The sequence below is a fragment of the Homo sapiens genome, chromosome 6 (assembly GCF_000001405.40).
Source record: "Homo sapiens chromosome 6, GRCh38.p14 Primary Assembly".
Lineage (NCBI taxonomy): Eukaryota > Metazoa > Chordata > Mammalia > Primates > Hominidae > Homo > Homo sapiens.
The window spans coordinates 10,671,422-10,693,532 of NC_000006.12; the positions used below are offsets into that span (position 1 = coordinate 10,671,422).

General features: G+C 41.2%; 2 protein-coding genes across 13 annotated transcripts in view; one reads left to right on the top strand and one right to left on the bottom strand.

Annotated features, from left to right (window-relative positions):
* C6orf52 (chromosome 6 open reading frame 52) overlaps positions 1–22,111 on the bottom strand; it is a 23,470-nt gene continuing 1,359 nt past the window's right edge. For 2 of the 12 annotated variants that reach the window (NR_026737.3, XM_011514574.3), the window contains exons 2-4: positions 15,545–15,743; positions 11,766–11,811; positions 1–177 (exon numbers count right to left, since the gene is read on the bottom strand). Coding sequence is in view for 7 of the 12 variants with exons in the window: in XM_011514574.3 (XP_011512876.1) it covers positions 35–177; positions 11,766–11,811; positions 15,545–15,743 (388 nt within the window). In the remaining 5 variants the exon portion in view is untranslated. Of the gene's footprint in view, positions 178–1,125; positions 1,216–5,082; positions 5,706–11,765; positions 11,812–13,427; positions 13,503–15,544; positions 15,744–16,058; positions 16,141–22,111 lie in introns of those variants that run through there. The other 10 variants (NM_001354357.2, NM_001388311.1, NM_001388310.1 and 7 more) reach the window with 10 other exon arrangements.
* PAK1IP1 (PAK1 interacting protein 1) overlaps positions 19,444–22,111 on the top strand; it is an 18,918-nt gene continuing 16,250 nt past the window's right edge. Inside the window, exons 1-2 of the mRNA XM_011514721.1 lie at positions 19,444–19,485; positions 19,776–19,898. Coding sequence (XP_011513023.1) covers positions 19,459–19,485; positions 19,776–19,898 — 150 coding nt within the window. The 5' untranslated portion in view covers positions 19,444–19,458. The remainder of the gene's footprint in view (positions 19,486–19,775; positions 19,899–22,111) is intronic.

Below are 22,111 nucleotides of genomic sequence, written 5' to 3' on the forward strand. Positions count from 1 at the left end.
TATGATAATTGCGGAGTTTAATGAACACCTTGCTTCACTTCGGGGTCTCATCTGGGATTTCGGAGTGAACTGTGTCCAGAGGCTGCCAGTGGCAATTCATGAGGGAGTCGTAGAGTTCTTCACTTTTCACCATAAACTCTTGGTTTGATTCCTCAATATTCAAATGAAGATGTGGATCTGCAGAAGCCAATAATGGATATGAAAAAAATAGAGTTTTACAGGACACATACTAGAAATAGTTTAAAATTAGAAAGCTTTTAGAAAGCATTTGCAGGAAGTACTGCAGATAGTAAAGGTTAAAATTCTTAAATTGCATATTTCCTTTCAATAAGACTTGAAAATAGAAATTTAAGCTATAAAAGTAGTAGTGTCATCAAACTCAATGAGCATCCAGCTGACAGAAGAGATGGAGGAAAAAAATGGACAGATTTCAGATGCTTGGGGGATGGATTCAATTTGGGAGGAAAGGGGAAAAGGAAGGTCAAGAATGACTGCCATGTTTCTGGCATGAGCCAGATAGATACAATGCCAAACAATGAACCAAGCCAAGGGCCCCTTGGACAGGGGTTTGTAAAAATACACATGCTACTTTAACTGCTCAGTTAACAGATAAAGTGAATTAATTTTATACAGCAACTAATTCAGAAAGACAGGAGGACTTGGCCTTCCATCTCCGAACCCTGGAACCCTGTGACGAGATGGTATTATGTTATTGCGAACGTATTAAACGTGGATTTTCTGCCCAAGTTGTCAGGTTTCCAGAGCTTTCCAAGGCTTACAAGGTCATTAATTTTTTTAATCTATTTTTTTCCTCTCCTTGTACTGAATGTAATGGAAGAAGCCTTTTATGTTTTCCTTTGTAATTTTTGCAAGCCTTAGTTCCTTGAGGATCATAATTTGCTTCCTAATACTCATATGGGTTCATGCTATTCATCTGTATGCTTATTAGGGACTAAATCTTTGCCCCACAAAATTCTTCTGTTAAAAGCCTAACCCCCACAATGTGAAGGCATTTGGAGATGGGGCCTCTGGGAGGTTAGATGAGGTCATAAGAGTTGGGTGCTGGTCTGACAGAAGTAGTGCCCTTATAAAAAGCGACAGCAGGCAGGACACAGCAACTCATACCTGTAACCCCAACACTTTGGGAAGCTGAGACCAGTGAATTGCTTAAATCTGGGAGTTTGAGATCAGCCTGGGCAACATACTGAGACGTCACTACAAAATATAAAAATAATTTTTTTTAAAAAAAGAGCAGAGAACTTGCTCACATTCTCTCCTACAATGCATGCATAAAGAGGTCAAGTGTGGAAACAGCAAGAAGGCTGCTGTCTGCAAGCCAAGAAGAGAGCCCTCGCCAGAAACCAAATTATCCAGACCCTGGATATTGGATTTCCAGCCTCCAGAATGGTAAGAAAATAAATCTTTGTTTAAACCACCCAGTCTGTGGTACTATGTTACAGTAGCCCTAGAAGACTAATGCAGTACTCTTCTGTATTTATCATTTTAGAACCAAAATGGTCAAATAGGCTTTAGTCATCATATAAATTCCATGAGCTACTTCTCACTTTTCTTCATTGGAGTCATTCATGATTGTGTTGTCTGATTCTTATTCTTTAGAGCTTCCCATCCCTTTTGAGTTTCCTTTGAGCGTTTCTGGTCATAAAAGTAGATGTTTCCCTTTTTTCCCACTAAACATTCTGAAATTTTCTTACACTTCTGTCCCCGGTTCCCTTCCTTTACCGTTATGGGCAGTTGTCTGCTAATGGGTCCCTGACTGCATGCCCCTGGTGGGGAAAGAGGAGTTAGGATCATATGCTTATGAGCATGCTCTCCACTTAACCTGTGGCCAAGAAAACAGATATAGTGTGGTCAGCTCCAAACCCCAGATTACATGATCTCTGCCCTTCCAGTGATGTTGATCAAAACTATAATAGAAGCCTATTCAAGACAAACTAATTATATCATCCCTAAACCTGTGAATCTTCTAGACCCATGTTGTCCAACACAGTAGCCACTAGCCACATGCAGCTATTGAGCATTGCTGGCCCTCACTGAGATGTGATGTAAGGATAAAATATACACCACATTGAAAGCAGAATGGTGGTTGCCAGGGGATGAGGGAAGGGAGAGTGAAGAGTTGTTATTTAATGGGTATGGAGTTTCAGGTTATAAAATGAAGAGTTCTGGAGATGAATGGTGATGGTTACACAACATTACGAATGTACTTAATACCACTGATACATTTAAAAGTCTATTGCTTCCCGGCCTTTTGGCTAAGATCAAGTGTGATACATTTAAAAGTCAAGATGGTAAATTTTATGTTATGCATATTTCACCACAATAGGAACAATTTAAAACTCTGCTTGAAGGTAATGTCTGAATAGCCCTCAAAATAAGGGTCCCCTCAATCTGCAGGTGAGGGGGCAGCCATTAAAAGAAAAAAAATAGAAAAAATATATGCTGCATTTCAAAGACTTGATGTAAAAAAAGTCGTTAATTTTTATATTGATTGCATGTTGGAATAATATCTTGGATATTGCCTTAGTTTGGGCTGCTAACAACATATCAGAAACTGACTAGTTCGTAAACAACACACAGTTATTTCTCACAGTTCTGGAAACCGGAAGTCCAAGATCAGGGTGTCAGCGTGGTTGGGTTCTGGTGAGGACCCTCTTCTGGGTTGCACACTGCCCAGAAGTCATGTCTTCACATGGCAGAGGGCAGAGAGAGGAATCAAATTCCCTCGTGACTTTTATAAGGTCACCATTTCCATTCATGAGGGCTCTACCCTCATGACCTCACCTAATCCTAATCATCTCCCTAAAGACCCATCTCCTAAAACTATCACATTGGGAGTGAGGGTTTCAACATATGAATTTGGCGAGGGGGAGGAACACAAATTCAGTCCATACCAGATATTAGGTTAAGTAAGAAACATTAATTTCACCTATCTCTTGAGTTGGTTCTTTAATTTGGCTACTAAAAAATTTAAAATTACCCACATGGATGGCTTTGTGTTTCACATTGTCTATTTTTAAATTTCTATGTGTTTCAAACTGACAGAGAAAACTGTATGTATTTATCACGTACAACATAGTGTTTTAAGTATATATTCATTGTGGAATGATCAAAGGATCAAATAACTACCTCACATAGTTATCATTTTTCATTTTTGTGGTGGAAACACTGAATATCCACTAAGTATTTTTCTTTCTTTCTTTTTTTTTTTTTTTTTTAAAAGACTAGTCAAATGCAGCAGTAAGAAGCAAGGAAAGAGTAGAACAAAAAGTTCAATCTGTAACTGACTGAACAACCAATTGCGATAACTCACTACCTTCGAATTAGCCTGTATTTCTTCATTAACTATAGTCACCATGGTATACAATACATTTTTTTTTTTTTTTTGAGACGGAGTTTTGCTCTTGTTGCCCAGGCTGGAGTGCAATGGTGCGATCTCAGCTGACTGCAACCTCCACCTCCTGGGTTCAAGTGGTTCCCCTGCCTCAGCCTCCCAAGTAGCTGGGATTACAGGCGCACACCACCACACTCGGCTAATTTTTTGTATCTTTAATAGAGATGAGGGTTCACCATGTTGGTCAGGCTGGTCTCAAACTCTTGACCTCGTGATCCACCCACCTCGGCCTCCCAAAGTGCTGGGATTACAGGTGTAAGCCACCGTGCCCAGCCTACAATAAATCTCTTGAACGGTATTCCTCCTAGCTAACTGAAATTCTATCTTTTGACCAACATCTCCCTACCACTCTCTCCCTGCAACTACCCTAGCCTCTAGTAACCACCATTCTATGCTCTACTGCTATGAAATAAGCTTTTTAAGATTCCACATGAGTGAAATCATATGGCATTTGTTCTTCCGTGCCTGGTTTATTTCACTTGACATAATGTTCTCCATGTTCATCCATGTTGCCACAAATGACAAGATTTCATCCTTTTTACAGTTGAATAGTATTCTATTGTGTATATACGCATTTTCTTTATCCATTCATCCACTTATGGGCATTTAGTTTGATTCTGTATCTTGGCTATTGTGAATAGTGCTGCAATAGACACGGAGGTACAGATGTCTCTTTGACATACTGATTTCATTTCCTTTGGATATATGCCCAATAGTGGGATTGCTGGATCATATAGTAGCTCTACTGTTAATAATTTGAGGAAACGCCATACTTTTTATAACTGCTGTACCAATTTACATTCCCACCAACAGTATGCAAGGGCTCTTTTCTTCACATCCTACCCAACATTTGTTATCTTTCGTCTTTTTGATAACAGCCATTCTATCAGGAGTGAGACGATATCTCACTACTGTGGTTTTAATTTACAGTTCTCTGATGATTAGTGAAGTTGAACATTTTCTCATGCATCTATTGGTCATTTGTACATCATCTCTTGAGAAATGTCTTAAAAAATGGCCGGGCACGGTGGCTCACGCCTGTAATCCCAGCACTTTGGGAGGCCAAGGTGGGTGGATCACCTGAGGTCAGGAGTTTGAGACCAGTCTGGCCAACATGGTGAAACCCCGTCTCTACTAAAAATACAAAAATTAGCTGGGCGTGGTGGCGAGTGCCTGTAATCCCAGCTACTCAGGAGTCTGAGACTGGGTTCATTTGAACGGGGGAGGCGGAGGCTGCAGTGAGCCGAAATCACGCCACTGCGTTCCAGCCTAGACAACAGAGTGAGACTCACTCTCAAAAAAACAAAACAAAACAAAACAAAAAACTTATCCCTGTAACCAAAAACCATCTGTACCCCCAAAAACTATTGAAATAAAAATTTTTTTAAATGTGCAAAAGACCTGAATAATCAGGTTATTTTCTTGCTAATGAGTCATTTGATTTCCTTATATATTTAGCATATTAACCCCTTATTGATACAGGAGTTAAAAAGAAATTATTTAGGGTAAGAAAGTCCTCGGTAAGGTTTTGCTTTTCATGAACAGCTGCCCCCAAATCATTTTCTTTTCTAACAAACAGCAACCTGTAAAACTGAACTGCAGACACAGACAAGCAAGCTAGAAGCTTGCACATGCAAATGCCAGCAGTTGTGCCAATAGGAAAAAGCTACCTAAGGAATAGGCATGTTCAAAATGGCGGCTCCATCTTCTCTTTGCCAGCCACTTGTGCAGTAAGGAGCGGACAAGATGGCGGACAAGTGGAAAGTCTATTTGCATAATAAGATCAGGGTAGGGCAACCAGCCTTCGCCTGGCATCATGTAGACGTCACACCTGGTCTAGCCAATCTGGGCCCTACATAAATCAGACACCGCCTCCTCAAGCCTGCCTGTAAAATTGCCTGCTGTCTGCTACAGGCCTACTTTTCCTTTTCGGAGGCCTGTTTCCTGTCACACAGAGCTGCTCTCCTCTCTCCTTTCTTCTACCTATTAAGCCTTGCACTCCTTAACCCACCCACATGTGTCCATGTCCTTATTCCTCCTGGTGCAAGACGACGAACCCTGGGTATTTACCCCAGAAGATGCCTCTTCATAATCACTTGCATAGCGTGCAAATATTTTCTCCCACTCCGTTGTCTGTCTTCACTCTGTTACTGTTTCCTTTGCTGTACAGAAGCTTTTTAGTTCACTGTGATACTATTTTTCTATTTTTGCGTTTGCTGCCTGTCCTTTTGAGGTCATATCCAAAAAAATCATTGCCCAGACCAATGTCGTGGAGCTTTTCCCTTATGTTTTCTTCTAGTAGTTTCACAGTTTTGGGTCTTACATTTAAGTCTTTAATCTATTTTGAGTTGTTTTTGTATATAGTGAGAGATAAACAGTCTAATTTCATTCTTTTGCATGTGGACATTGTTTTCTGAGCACCATTTATTGAAGAGACTGCCTTTTCCCCATTGTGTGTTCTTGGCACCTTTGCTGAAAATCAGTGGGCTATAAATGTGTGGATTTATTTCTGGGCTCTCTATTCTGTTCCATTGGTTTATGTGTCTGTTATTATGCCAGTATCATGCTGCTTTGGTTACCACAACTTTGTAGTACAAAGTCAGGTAGTGTGATGCCTTCACCCTTTTTTTTTTTTGGCTCAGATTGCTTTGGCTATTTAGGTTTTTTTGTGATTCCATACAAATTATAGTATCATTTTTTTCTTTTTTTTTTTCCCAAGACAGGGTCTCACTTTGTCACCCAGGCTGGAGTGCAGTGGCGCCACCTTGGCTCACTCTAACCTCCGCCTCCCGGGTTCCAGCAATTCTCCCACCTCAGCCTCCCGAGTAGCTGGGACTACAGGCACGCATGCCACTATGCCTGGCTAATTTTTGTATTGTTAGTAGAGACGGGGTTTCACCATGTTGACCAGGCTGTTCTTGAACTCCTGACCTCACGTGATCCTCCCACCTGAGCCTCCCAAAGTGCCAGGATTACAGGCATGAGACACTGTGCACTCGGTCATTTTTTTCTATTTCTATGTAGAATGCCATTGGTATTTTGATAGAGAGTACATTGAATCTGGCTGGGCATAGTGGCTCATGCCTGTAATCCCAGAACTTTGGGAGGCCAAAGCAGGTGGATCACCTGAGGTCAGGAGTTCAAGACCAGCCTGGCCAACATGGAGAAGCCCCATCTCTACTAAAAATACAAAAATTAGCTGGGTGTGGTAATTCCAATCCTACTGTAATTCCAATCCTACTTGGGAGGCTGAGGCAGGAGAATTGCTTGAACCCTGGAGGAGGCGGTTGCAGTGAGCCGAGCTCAAACACCACTGCCCTCCAGCCTGGGCAACAGAGTGAGACTGTCTTAAAAAAAAAAAAAAAAAAAAAAAAGACAGAGAGAGTGCATTGATTCTGTAGATCACTTTGGGTAGTATGAACATTTTAATAATATTCATTGTTTTAATCCATGAGCATGAGATATCTTTTGTGTCTTCAGTTTCTTCCATCAACACTTTATAGTGTTCAGTATAGACATCTTTCACCTCAGTTAAATTTACTCTTAAGTTTTTGTTACAGCTATTGTACATGGGATTATTTTCTTGTTATCTTTTTCAAACAGTATTAGTGTATAGAAACAATTTTGTGTAGTAAAGTTACAGGATACAAAATTAATAAGTTTATTAGACCTAACAGTTTTTTGGCAGAGTCTGTAGGGTTTTCTCTACAGGCATACCTCAGAGATATTGCAGGTTTAGTTCCTAACCACTGCAATAAAATGAATATTGCAATGAAGCAAGTCACATGAATTTTTTGTTTCCCAGTGCATATAAAAGTTGTTTACATTGGCTGGGCATGGTGGCTTATGCCTGTAATCCCAGTACTTTGGGAGGCCGTGGCTGGAGAATCACTTGAGCTCAGGAGTTCGACACCAGCCTGGGCAACATAGTAAGACCTTGTCTCTGTTTTTAAAAAAATTTTTTTAAAAGAACAAATTTGGCCAGGCACAGTGGCTCACGCCTGTAATCCCCGCACTTTGGGAGGCGGAGGCAGGAAGATCATGAGGTCAGGAGATCGAGACCATCCTGGCCAACATGGTGAAGCCCCACCTCTACTAAAATACAAAAAATTAGCCAGGCATGGTGGTGCTTGCCTATAGTCCCAGCTACTTGGGAGGCTGAGGCAGGGGAATCACTTGAACCCAAGAGGCGGAGATTGCAGTGAGCCAAGATCGCACCACTGCACTCCAGCCTGGCAACAGAGTGAGACTCCATCTCAAAAAAAAATAAAATAAAAGAACAAATTTGTTTACAATGTAAATACCTTAAGAAATAGTTTATTGCGGCTGGGCACGGTGGCTCATGCCTGCAATCCCAGCACTTTGGGAGGATGACGTGGGTGGATCACCTGAGGCCAGGAGTTTGAGACCAGCCTGGCCAACATGGCGAAACCCCATCTCTACTAAAAATACAAAAGTTAGCTGGGCGTAGTGGCAGGTGCCTCTAGTCCCAGCTACTCAAGAGGCTAAGGCAGAAGAATCGCTTGAACCCGGAGACGGAGGTTGCAGTGAGCCGAGATCACGCCACTTTACTCCAGCCTGGGTGACAAAGCAAGACTGTCTCCAAAAAAAAAAAAAAAATAGAAAAAAAAATAGCTCATTGCTAAACAGTGCTAACAAGTAAGCACATACCGTTTGCGAAAATGGCACAGATACACTTGCTCAATGCAGGGCTGCCATAAACTTCTAACTTGTTAAAAAAAAAAAACAAAAAACAAAAACCATAGTCTCTGTGGAACATAATAAAGTGAAGTGCAATAAAATGAGGTATGCCTGTATATCACATCATGTCATCTTCAAAACTTCTTCCTTTCCAACCTAGGAACCTTTAGTTTCTCCCTCTTGCCTAACTGCTCTGGCTAGACTTCTAATATTATGTTGAATAGAAGTAGTGAAAGTGGGCATCCTTATCTGGTTTCAGATCTTAGAGGAAAAGCTTTCAGATTTTCCCCGTTCAGTGCAATATTAGCTGTGAGTTTGTTATATGGACTCTATTGTATTGAGGTACACTCCTTTTATACCTAATTTGTTGGAAGTTTTTATCATGAAGAGATAACTGAATTTTGTCAAATGATTTTTCTGCATCTACTGAAATGATCACCAAGCGCAGTTGCTCATGCCCGTAATCCCAGAACTCTGGGAGGCTGAGGCAGGCAGATCACCTGAGCTCAGGAGTTCAAGACCAGCTTGGGCAACATGGCGAAACCCCATCTCTACCAAAAATACAAAAAATTAGCTGGGCATGGTGTCATGCACCTGTGGTCCCAGCTACTTGGGAGGCTGAGATGGGAGGATTGCTTGAGCCTAGGATGCAGAGGTTGCAGCCGAGATCACGGCACTGCACTCCAACCTGGGTGACAGAGTGAGACCCTATCTCCAGGAAAAAAAAAAGAAAAATAATGTTTTTTGTCCTTCATTCTGTTGATGGGATAATGGGATGTATCATGTTTATTAATTTGTGTATATTAAACTATCCTTGCGTCCCTGGGATGAATACCACTTGTTCATGACAGATGATTTTGTCATTGTGCTGTTGAATTCAGTTTGCTAGTATTTTGTTGGGGACCTTTGCATCTATGTTCATCAGGAATATTGGTTGTAGTTTTTTCTTGTTGTGTCCTTTTCTGGTTGTGATATCAGAGTAATGCTGGCTTCATAAAATAAGTTTCAAAGTATTTCGTCTTCGATTTTTTGGAGTGTTTAAGACATGGCATTAGTTCTTCTTTAAATATCTGGGGGCTGGGCATGGTGACTCAGGCCTGTAATTCCAGCCCTTGGGGAGGCAGAGCTGGGAGGATCGCTTGAGCCTAAGAGTTTGAGACCAACCTGAGCAACAAAGTGAGACTCCACCTCTACAAAAAATAAAATAAAATGAAAAATAAATGTTTGGTAGAATTAAACAGGCCATCAGGACCTGGGCTTTTCTTTGATGGGAGACTTTTTTTTGAGACAGGGTCTCACTCTGTCACCCAGGCTGACATGCAGTGGCACATTCATAGCTCACTTAAGCCTCAGTCTTTTGGGCACAAGCAATCCTCCTATCTCAGCCTCTCAAATATTTGGGACTATAGGTACATGCTACCATACCCAGTTATTTTTTTAAATTTTTTGTAGAGACAAGGTCTCACTGTATTGCCAAGTCTGGTCTCAAGCCCCTGGGCTCAAATGATCCTCCCCTATTAGCCTCCCGAAGTGCTTGGGATTATAGGCATTATCCACCAGGCCTGGCCTGATGGGAAACTTTTTATTACTGTTTCAATTCCTTATTATTGGTCTGTTCAGGTTTTCTATTTCTTCATAATTTAATCTTGGTAGGTGGTAGATTGTATGTGTCCAGGAATTTACTCATTTCTTCTATGTTATCCAATTTACTGATGTATAATTGTTCATAATTGTCTTTTATGTTCCTTTGTATTTCTGTGATATCAGTTGTAATGTCTCCTTTTTCATCTGATTTTGAGTTTCTTTTGTTCTTAAAGGTTTGTTGACTATCTTTTAAAGAAACCAACCCTTCATTTTGTTGATCTTTTGTATTGTTTTTCTAGTTTCTATCTATTTTTGCTATAGTCTTTATTATTTCTTTTCTTCTACTAATTTTGGGTTTACTTTGTTCTTGTTCTTCTAGCTCCTTGAGGTGCAACTGCATTACATTTCTACTGACCAGTACTGTGCCAGATTGATGACCAGCCAATACTTGAGTGTTTATGATATGGCAGCAGCTGTTTAACCACCTAAAAGTACTGTAGACCTAGCATACCCACACTTCCTATAAGAAAGGTATCAATGTCCCCACTTTACAGAAACTGAAGCAGACACACTAGAGATTAATTTGTCTGGAATTACAGAGCTAGTAGGTAGAATCTGAACCCCGTGGCAATCTGTATCCAAAAAGCAGACTTTTACCTCTATTATTTTGATAGAGGCATGGGACAGCCAAATGCCTAGGCAAATAGGGTAAGGTCCCTGGAGAACCTCCAACCTGCCCAAGTCATTGTGCACAGGGGGCTTGGCTAAACATGCCCACGGTGAAAAATTCCATCTTTTAACACATGTGCAATAAGGGAAATAAATCAATGTGGAGTGGCTCAGACTAAGGGCCCACGTGCACATTGGAAGAATGAGGAGGAGTCACCAGGAATTCACACCTTATGCAGGGGAGGAGCCTGGCCTTTTCAACTCGTATGTGATGGCCTGGTATTCAATTTGTGAGGTGGAAACCTGTGTTTGGGATCCCTCTTTTTGTTAAGAGCTTTCCTTTCACTTAATAAATTCCATCCTCCTCACCCTTCAATGTATCCACATGCCTAATTTTTCCTGGTTGTGAGACAAGGACCCAGATTTAGCTGAACTAAGGAGCAAGAAATCCTGCATCAATTTTAATAAATTGCATAACTGATAAAAGGCAGGAAGAAAGACTCACACTTAATCTGAAAGAAATCCCACAAAGTTGAAATAAGCACCCTTTACTCATGTTTAAATCAAAGTACTAAAAACTACAACTGCTCAACAGCATATAAACATTTCTTTTCAACACCAATTTGATTTAATTTAAACACTGAGCACCTACTGACATGTGAACTCTCTGAATTAGTAACAGGGCCTACAAAGACTGATAACAACATGCTCCCTTCTTTGATAAAGTCATAAAGGCAGTGGGTGGGTTTGTCTGGTAGGGGCAGGGGTTTGGGCAAGAGAGAGATTAGACAAACATGTGATAAGACAGACATGTGATAAGAAAAAGGCAATAGTGTTCTCTGCATTTCTCCTCTATTTTTCTTTCCCATTACTTAAAAGAAGCAAAACATTTTTTCCCCTTCCTCAAATAAGACACATTCAGAGTGTTTGTCTCTAGGCAGGCAAACTTTGTTCTTTCCAAAACAAATTGAGAAGTACAGGAAGCACCACCAGACTGACACTACAGTGCTGCTCTGTCAGGTACCCCAGGATCCAATAACCCTGAGGCCACAGCAATCACCTCATGCTCTTCCCCCTTGAAAAAGAGAATTAAAGCATAATTCTCCTCAAAGTCTAAACTTACAGAGGAAATGGAGCTTAAGAACAATGTATTGTCTTCTTACTGTTTGGGAATGTCCCCCTTTCTCAGTCCTTCAGAAAGGCCCAAAGAGGTGGCTTAGTTAAAGTTGTTCCCATAGAACCAGTTTCTAAAAACAGGAGAAATTACTGAAGCATATGGCTTAGGCAACCTACATTGGAATTTTCCAATAGAACCTTCCAGTTTCTAGCAAGCTGAGTGAATGAGAAACCAGGAAATGGGGTTTTGTTTCCAACCACTTCAGCACAAGGTTTATGTTACCTTCTAGTGGGTCTTCATCTTGGTTTTCAGCTAGAGGTGTGGTTTCCTGCAACAAAATATTATCTCATGAGAAAATAATTTTACTTAAAGGTTTAATATCAATACATACTTTATTGGGAAAAACTCTAGCTCTCAAAAAAACTACCTAAAATAAAAATAATATTGACAATTAATCTCTTTAAATCAACTTTTGAATTTGATGAAAAGAATCTTTAGGTGGCATAGTACAATTATGAAAGAAGTAAACTGAATCACAGAAGAACTGTCACAAAGAGGAACAAGCCTAACGAGGGCCCCTGGCCCCTGGATTTTCTGGGACCTAACTAGCATCCTAGAGCCTGAGCTAGGAAACCAGACACCAGCGACCCTGGTATCCAGGCTCCTTATTTCTTGTACTACATGCCTGACTCTACCTAGAGTTCTGCTCCTCCTTCCAGAAGACAATCTGTTAAGTCTCCATGAGCACGTTTTTCTCATGGCCTTCTAATCACATCCTCAAACCCGTGACTCAGCTAAGAACCAGGATATTAGGTGCTCAAGAAAATGCAGAGGCTACAGCAAAGCAAACCAATCATATCCTTACATAATGAGAGAAGTAAACTGCAGAGGTACTCCCAAAGTAAATCTTGGTTGGTTAACCCAGACCCTGTTGGCTCTACTGGGGCAGCATACGTTTTTATGATTCTTCTATGTAGACCTGTTGGGAACCTGTCTTTTTAAGTATGGCCAGCTATTCCAAGGAATCACTATCAAGAAAGGGCTGATGTAGCTCCTGGCACTTAATTAAGCTTCCCTTGCTAATAAGAATGAGAAGATACTGAGAGCCAAAGATCTACTATCTTTTCTTTTCAGTCTATCTGAAAGTATGCCTCCCCTTCACTCTGAAATATACTGAGGTTTGGAAAATAGGTTATATAGTTACCATAAATTTCAAAAGACAATCTGTCTTTTTTCTATTTAGATACGGCTAAGACCGCAGGCATGGTGGCATGCAGCCGGTAGTCTCAGCTACTTGGAAGGCTGGAGCAGGAGGACCACTTGAACCCAGGAGATCAAGACTGCAGTGAGTTATGATGGCACCACTGCACTCCAGCCTGGGCAAAAGAGCAAGACATCATCTCTAAAAGCTAATTATATAAAAAGAAAAGAAAGAAATGGCAAAGACACCCAGAATCCACACTTCCATAAGTTCCTTTCCCATAATACAAGACTTGAGTAACCACACATTTCCTCCTTTCAGTGTGTGTTCTGGTAAATGTGGATGCTAAATAACCAGGATGAGGGAAGCAGGAAGTATCTGGAGACAGAGCATTCTCTCTGGTCTGAGGGCCACCTGTGCTGTGTATGCAGCTGGCTGCCTTTAAAGAAAAGCACATTTATAAAAGGCTTTCCTCAGCTAGAGATAGTCTGGGAAGGTGTGCTGATGGACCACAAAGACCCGAGAATCATTTTGGAGACATCCACCTCCACAACGTGAAAATGTAAAGGAGAGGGCTGGAGAGGGGGTAACCCCTTTAACTTGGGGAGATAAAGGTTATGGACAGAGGCACAGCACATTGGGGGAAGCAGGGAATGACTAGGACATCTTGGCAAGGACACACGTTATTGGAGAAGACCAAAATGGGGATGTGGGAGTAAAAGAGCGCCACCACAGAGGCTTACCATCTTTAATTTCACTCAGCAGCTTCCCAACAGGGGACACCCAGCAGGATGGCAGGCAGATGGCACAGGGGGTCACTACAGCCACAAAAGATAACATATTTATATAATTCTTGTATGAAAAATGCATGTTATAGTAATAATTCGGCCTGAGGGTGAGATAAAAATCCCAGACTGTGCCAACAAAAATGGACAGAGGAATTGAGAGAAGGGGTAGCCAGGTGAGAAAAAAAGGATGTTCATTTCTTAATTTTCTCAAGAGTGACGAAAAAATCAAGAAATACTTTTGTTTCTGAAGTTGATAATATACTAATTCCTATACTTCTCTATTTAGAGATATAAGGGTAACCACCAAAAGACAGACCGTCTCCCAAAAAAGAGCAAAAAGAGAAGGGGCAAAAGAAAAAAAAAAAAAAAAGAGTGCCAAAACCACAGGCAATGTAGTGAAAGATTTTTTTTTTAAGTGCTGCAATATCAAACATCTGTTAAAAGGGAAAAACCCAAATTGGGCTAAAAGGGGGAAAAAATGACAAGAAATCTAACAAGATATTTTATATAAGAGGCACACCTAAAACAGACTTGAGAAAAATTGAAAATGAAAGTTTGGGCAGTGAAATATCATAATATAAAGCAAATGTAAGTTTTAAAAGCCAAGGGACTAGATATAAAATTCAATTTTCATTTTAAGGTAAAGATCATCACACAAATGGTGTCACTCTGCATATTAGGAGACAAGCTGGGGTGGGGGAAGTCCGTAACATTTAGACTCCAAAGTGTTAATTTCTCTAACATGTGAATATCTTATGCAGTCAAGCAAGAGGGACACAACTCAACAGAAAAATTAGAAAGAGGATATCAAAGTCACAGAACACAGATAGCAATAAACATTTCAAGAGGTATTTGCCCTCAATAATAGATAAATGCCTCCCTGCCCTATTAGATTGGCTAATCATACACAGACAAATGTAGAGTAGCAAGAACACCCACCACAATAATGAAAAGTGTAAATTCATGCAGACTTTAGGTAACTTGCTATTAAAATTTTTTAATGTTATATCCTTTAATCCAGCCCTTCCACATCCAGAATTATATTCTTGGGGAAAAAAGCAACACTCAGACAAATGCTTGAAGATAGGTAAGTTTGTTAAAGCCCTGAAAATATTTAAAATGTCAGATAAGGGATGAGCTAAAAATCGCAATGTATCTAACTGCGCTCGCTCTGTTGCTCAGGCTGGAGTACAATGGCACAATCATGGCTCATTGCAGCCTCAAACTCCCGGACTCAAGTGATCGTCCCGCCTCAGTCTCCCAAGTAGCTGGGACTACATGTGTGAGCCATCTTGCCCAGACCATAAGTGGACGATTTTTTAAAGAAAGGTCTCCTTATGCAGAAGCAAGCAAACAGCAAACCAGTATGTACTACATAGTTCGTTCTTGCCCAAATCATCCCCTAACCACCAAAACAGAAAGATGAACCACATTGATTTAGCAAGAGTACAGGAGAAAGATCTAGAAGACATAGATCCACTCCACAGTACTTTCTTCTAAGTGGGAAGGGAATGGGGAAGGAGGAGGGGTGTGTGTGGGGGGGAACTTTTCCCTTACTTCAATACATCTTTGTGTGATTTGAGAAATATGTCACTTTAGTAATTCAAAGTATTAAAATATATTTTTAAAGTGTGTTTATGTCCAACTGCTATAAAACAAACCCCAAAACTACCTTTTGTCCTATATAGTGTTAAAGAGTAAAATTTATCGAATTATGATAATCTAAAATTTAGCAGCAAGAATTTAGAAAAAGACTTCATTAGCTTTTTGTGTTGTTTCTAGAAGAGAATGGGAAATTATCTGCAAGTGAACACTTCTAGTTTATACACGTCCAAACTCAGCAAATCATATAAATTAAACATGTGCAGGGACTTTTTGTGTATTATACCTCAATAAAGCTATACAAACATTTTTCTTAGGCTATCAGCTTTACTCTCTAGTATTAAAACAGGTAGCAAAAGCCATGTCTGTGGGAATTTGGATGACAGGACACAGATGTGTGAAGATAGGAAAGTGATGTTTACTATTATTGGGCACACGAATGACACAAGATTCATTCTAGCAAGGGATACCTTAGGCATAACCAGAGTTCCAGCTGTGTGTTCAGGGGTCTCATGCGCAGAAAAACAGTCCTTTCCATTTCCATCCACTGCACAGCCATAGCTGTAGCCAGAAAGAAGGTAAGAGCCGTGCTGTCGCGCATACCAGTTGCCATAGCGGTAACTCTGGCTGGGCTGGAACTCCTGCTTCACTCTAATAGCAGAGGGGAGACTACAGGAATGACAATCATCACAACCAACGCAGAATCATCCACAAACCCCCAAACCCTTTCTTCTTTCCAGGAAGTTTGCAGTAAGCTGAACACCTATGTTCAAAGCCATAGTTTGATACCTAATGTAGATGACGGGTTGATGGGTGCAGCAAACCACCATGGCACGTGTATACCTATGTAAAAAACCTGCACGTTCTGCACATGTACCCCAGAACTTTAAAAAAAAAAAAGCCATAGTTTGTAAGTTACCAACAGTTATGTAGCAAATAGAACAGTAACAGCTTTCCTTTTCAAAGTAGGAGAAAACCACTCACCTTTGCCAGTAGCAGTAATAGTTATTTTGTTGAGCTATGCCAAAATCTGCAGAACTCTCTGGTTGGGCCATTTACCCAGAAACTTTACAAAAAGAGAGCAGAATCCAGTTTTTATTCCTGCGTCAAAAATCCAGCTTGTGGGCTGAAACCTCTCAATCCTGACAAATAAGTCTCGCAACTACATCTGAGATAATTACATTTAGTGGCAATTCCTGCTAGGCAATTAATTGCTTGACTTTCCTGACAACGGGGCAAAGGTGTGGGTGGGGGAGGGGTGTACTGAGGCACCTGGGGGAACTTCTGCAATCTGTTCCTCGGGCTTCCACCTGCCAGCCCCTCTCTCCCAACTGTCAGGCAGCGGGAGCCAGCAGAACCCCAGGGAGGGACAGAAGGGGTAGGTATGTTGGTCGACAATGAAGGATAGTCTCCACTCCACCCCTTACCATAACAGGTAAAAGAGGAAACTCTAATAACTAAAACCTTAAGACAAATACATTTCTCTCCTCTGTTACCTGCTGAGAATAACTATTGGAACTAGCACCTGCTGGCTTTTTCTTTTTTTAATTCCACGCAGGTTGAAAGCATCATCCAACTACCTGCAAAATTAAGAGGCAGAGAAGAACGCGCTCCCTCGCCCCCTTCCCTTCTCTCCTCTTCTCTTACGCTCTACATTAATGAGAGTACAGGATACAATTTTAAAGAAATATTTCTCTGGTTCAGTTTTTTTTTTTAAAAAAAGCATAAAACTTCCCAAACTTCGATGTGCATTCAAATGACCTGGACTTGTTTAAAATGTAGGTTCTCTAACTTGACAGATTTGGAGTGGAGCCTCAGATTCTGCCTTTATTAGCCAGCTCCCGCCACTTGAAGTAGCAAGGTTACACAGTGTCAAAATTCAGGATAACTTTTAAGTCCATATGGGGCACTTAGGGTTTGGCCATTTCCCTGCAGCTTGCTAATAACTAAGTTCTTAATGTATTTACTATTTACCTGTAATGCGAAAAATAGCAAACATGATGAATTCAAAACATTCGGATCATTCAATCATTCACCAGTTATTGAGCCATTACTATACTCATCCCTGAGTATCCATGGGAGATTGTTTACAGGATCCCCCTCAGATACCAAAATCCTTGGATGCCCAAGTATAAAATGGTGTAGTATTTGCAAAGAACCTACACACACCCTCCCATAAACCTTAAATTCTGTCTGGATTACTTATAATACCTAATACAATGGCTATGTATTACTTCATGTGGGTTCACCAGTAGTATCCAGCATGTGGCAAATTCAAGTTTTACTTTTTGAAACTTTTTGGAGTTTTGGGGTTTTTTGTTTTGTTTTGTTTTTGAGATGGAGTCTCCCTCTGTCACCCAGGCTGGAGTACAGTGGCATGATCTTGGCTCACTGCAACCTCCACCTCCCAGGTTCAAGTGATTCTGCTGCCTCAACCTCCCCAGTAGCTGGGATTACAGGCATCTGGCACCACGCCTGGCTAATGTTTGTATTTTTAGTAGAGACAGGGTTTCACCACATTGCCCAGGCTGGAGGGCAGTGGCATGATCTCTCCTCACTGCAACCTGTGCCTCCCAGGTGCAAGTGATTCTCCTGCCTCAGCCTCCCCAGTAGCTGGGATTACAGGTGCCCACCACCACGCCTGGCTAATTTTTAGTAGAGACGGATTTTCACCATGTTGGCCAGGCTGGTCTCAAAACTTCTGACCTCAGGAGATCCGCTCGCCTTAGCCTCCCAAAGTTCTGGGATTACAGGCGTGAGCCACCGTGCCCGGCCTCCCAAGTATTTTCAGTCCACGACTGGTTGCATCCAGGGATGCAGAACCCACAGACGCTGAGGGCCGATGGTATCCGCAAGGCAGGGTAACTGGCATTGGTGATGTACTGGAGTTTATAGAGAGTGGATTTCCTCATGTCTTCAAGGGAGATTTTATTGATTAGCAACTGTGGCAGACATTGTTAAGTGCCACCCAATATTGGTTTATTTTCTTCCTTAATAACAATTCTGATTTCACTTGGGCTAGCAATAGGCCCAAGCTAAAAGACTACATTTCCTAGCTTCTCCCTTGCAGCAAGATGTGGCCAGGTGGTCAGTCTGGCTAAGAAGATGTAAACAGAACTAGTAGAAGGGGATAGGGGAAAGCTGTGTGGGAAAAGGGTATTTGCTTAGCTGGAGGGTCTGGTGCTGGGATTACAAATATGACGGCTGGTGTCAGAATAACTCTGCAGCTATCTTGGACTATGAGGTGACATCCAGGAAGGCATCATGCAGAAGAATACTGGGATCCAAGACAGAATGAGTCTAGGTCACCAATGACTAAGGACTCCTTCCACTAGCACTAGACTGGCCTACCGCTGGTTTACTTAATGTCTTGTTTAGACCACTATTGTTATGTCAGGTAAAACACAATTCCTAACTACTGTAGTTTAGACAGCCAATAAAACATGTCAGTTAAAGATTCTTTTCCTGTAAAATTTTTTTTCTCTCACTTTAGGACTGACTTTATTTTACACAAAGAAAATCACAATTATGGCTATAACCAGGTAAGCATTGAGGCTGCAGTTGGAAAGCAACGTGGAAGTTGAACATTGAGGAGGTGCTAAGGAGGCTGAGGAAGAGAGAGGTCAATGTAATCATGTTGCAACCACCTAGGAAGATGGCAGCAGCTGTGGAACAGAAGGTTGTAAGCAAGATCCCAGGGTAAAGATGGGCACTTAGGCCTTGGAGATGACAGTGACAAGGGCTCACAAGCGCTGTTTTGCTCACTAAAAGCCCCAAATGCAAACCTTCTGTTTCAACTAGATTACTCCCATGAATCAGGTGAAGCAAATTTCTATTGGGGCACACTACTGGACAGGTTCAGGGCACGTACAGCATTATCTCCACTTCCCTTCGTGCTGGAAATACAAAGGAGACCAAAACCCCCAGGAATACATTCACGTGCAACCTCCATAGTCCTTGAATTTAACAGAGTTGCTGCCTGTCACATTGAGAAAGAGGAGAATTCAGCAGGAATATGAGACTCTCATATTTCTAACAGGGCTGATTTTTCTCTACTGTGTCCTGCTTGTACCCCAGGATATCCACTTTACCACCCTCAACCACCCAAGAAGAAAAACTAGCTTTTACTTTAACAAACCGAAGCTAAGCACTCAACAAATATTTGTTGAATGAATGAATAAATCAGAGCATAGCTCAAGAGCAAAAACCTTTTCAATCAATAATTTAAAAGCAAAGCTACAAAACAATATCCTCTCGTGCTTTAGTGTTTAATGAACTCTCAACATTGGTTGTTTCTTGGCAGCTGCAGATTTCACAAGAATGAGATTAAATGGCTTTTTACATCCTGTATTTGGAAAGAGAATAGGAGGATTTACAGGAAGTTATGCTCAGTTCCAATCCAGTTAAACAGGTATATAATTCTCTTTTGTCTTTCTTCAGACAATGAAAATCCGCAATCTAAGACCTGAAACTACTGCCACAGCCATGCATAAAATGAAATGCTGCTGCTTTCCTCTCTGTTAAAGAGAATGTTCAAGGCCGAGGACACATAAAAAAGAGCAGCATTGCTGGCTCTGTTATTTAGCTGTGTGTTCTTGAAAAAGTCACTTCTCCAGACATATCTCAGCATTTATAACCTAAGACTGAATCACTGCATTTTACCCTTAATGAGGTACGCTTACACTAATCTTTTTGAAACAGTACTTAAATTGTAGCAGGACAAGCCGCAGACAAAACCCCTCAGCCAGCGAGTTTAAGAAAGAAGGGCTTTATTCGGCCGGGATCTTCGGCAAGACTCACGTCTCCAACAACCAAGCTCCCCAAGTGAGTAATTCCTGTCCCTTTTAAGGGCTTACAACTCTAAGGAGGTCCGTGTGAGAGGGTCGTGATTGACTGAGCAAGCGGGGGTACATGACTGGGGGGCTGCATGCACCGGTAATTAGAACGGAACAGAACAGGACAGGGATTTTCACAGTGCTTTTCTATACAATGTCTCTAATCTACAGATAACATAACCGATTAGGTCAGGGGTCGATCTTTACCAGGCCCAGAGTGTGGTGCCGAGCTGTCTGCTTGTGGATTTCATTTCTGCCTTTTAGTTTTTACTTCTTCTTTGGAGGCAGAAATTGGGCATAAGACAATATGAGGGGTGGTCTCCCTCCCTTAAAATCCTAATGCTCTCCTCCAAAAATGTATATCCACATATTTGCATATAATTTCATGGGATTCAAAACCCCTGAAATTTATCCAGGAACCCCCAGATTAGTAACACCTGGACTAGATGTTGTCTAAGTCCTCTGAGCTCTGTAATTGGTTCCACTGATTTCTAAGTTTTGGGGTTTTTTTTTCTTTTTAAAGTAAAACCACTTTGAGTTATGTTCATGGTGCTTACACCATGGTTTCCATTCTAGAACCAACTATATTCTAAAATTCCTGGTTGGAACAAAAGTTACTTAAGCAAGTAAAAGTGTGACAGTCTGGTAACAGATTCTAAATAATCACCTTTTTATGGTGATAAGCTAAAATTTATTTTAAAAAGTGTATTAAACAAGTATTAATACTTCTCAAACAGCAGTTGAGATGTCCCTGGGGTAAGGAGACAGGGCACCAGGGACATTCCAGAAGTAACAGAATATACAAAGCATGATTTTGAAAGTTTTAGCGGTTTTTAATTTGTGGATGAGGGTGTAACACTTTTGCATTAAAATAAACAGATATGTTGTGGAGTAAAATGCATAAAGGCACATTTTTAAAGATAAAATGTGAAACTTACAATGTCCTGCTTACTAATACCTTGTCTCACGTCCAGAGGACACTTACTTCACACTCCTCTAATCTTAGTGGTTCTCTGGTGGAAACTTACACATTACAAAAAAAGTAATCTATTCTAAATCCTAAAATAATTTGATTTTTTGTAACACAATGAAGATAACTAGCACAAAGTAAAGAAAGAATGACTTTTTTTTTGAGACAGTCTCACTCTTGCCCACGCTGGAGTGCAGTGGCGGGATCTCGGCTCACTGCAATCTCCACCTCCCTAATTCAAGCGATTCTCCCGCCTCACCCTCCCGAGTAGCTGGGACTATAGGCGCCCACCACCACACCCAGCTAATTTTTGTATTTTTAGTAGAGACGGGGTTTCACCATGTTGGCCAGGATGGTCTCGATCTCTTGATCTCGTCAAAGTGCTGGGATTACAGGCATGCGTGAGCCACTGCGTCTGGCCATTTTATTTTATTTTTTGAGACAGAGTCCTGACCTCAAGCAATCCGCCTGCCTAGGCCTCGCAAAGTGCTGGGATTACAGGAGTGAGCCACCGTGCCCAGCCAAGAAAGATTTTGGAAGAGTGAATGAATACAAGGATTTCCACTAGACTGAGAATTAGTTTGTCAACAGCATTTCAGTGTCTTGAGAAGTGTTTACATTTGGCGTGGACAAAGCTGGCAGATGACGTAGAAAGTAAAAAGTTGCCTCTTCAAAGTTTCCCTTCTTGTTAAAGAATAAATCATAAATGTTAGAAACAATAGTTTCTTTTAAAGACTAACTTACTTCAAGCCTCCTTGCTTTGTGCTAATAACTCTGTTAAGCCCTATTGTATGTAACTGCGGGACATGCTCACAGGCCCAGGCACGTTCCAGCTCACAGCCTGTTTAGCAAATCGGGTATCAGTTTAAGATTATGAGGTCCAGCCCCAGCCAACGGATGCAGGACACAGCAGTAAGGACAACCCAAAGGCGTAAGGGACAAATATGTCTGCTTTTCCTTTGTTCAGGAGTGCTCTCACCATCGTTCCATCTGCAATTGAGCACCCTTTCTGCATAAAGTAAAAATTGCCTTGCTGAGAGATCTTTTGTCTCCATGCTGACTTTTCTTCGTGTCACCAATTATCTATTTCTAACAATAACAAGGTCTTTTCTGCACTGCAGTGACAACCAAAGCATCCCAAATGAAATCATTTCTGCAAGACCCAAACTAGCCTCTATTAACACGTACTAACAATTCAGAACACCAGAGAAGAAAAGTTATTGGAAACAAAA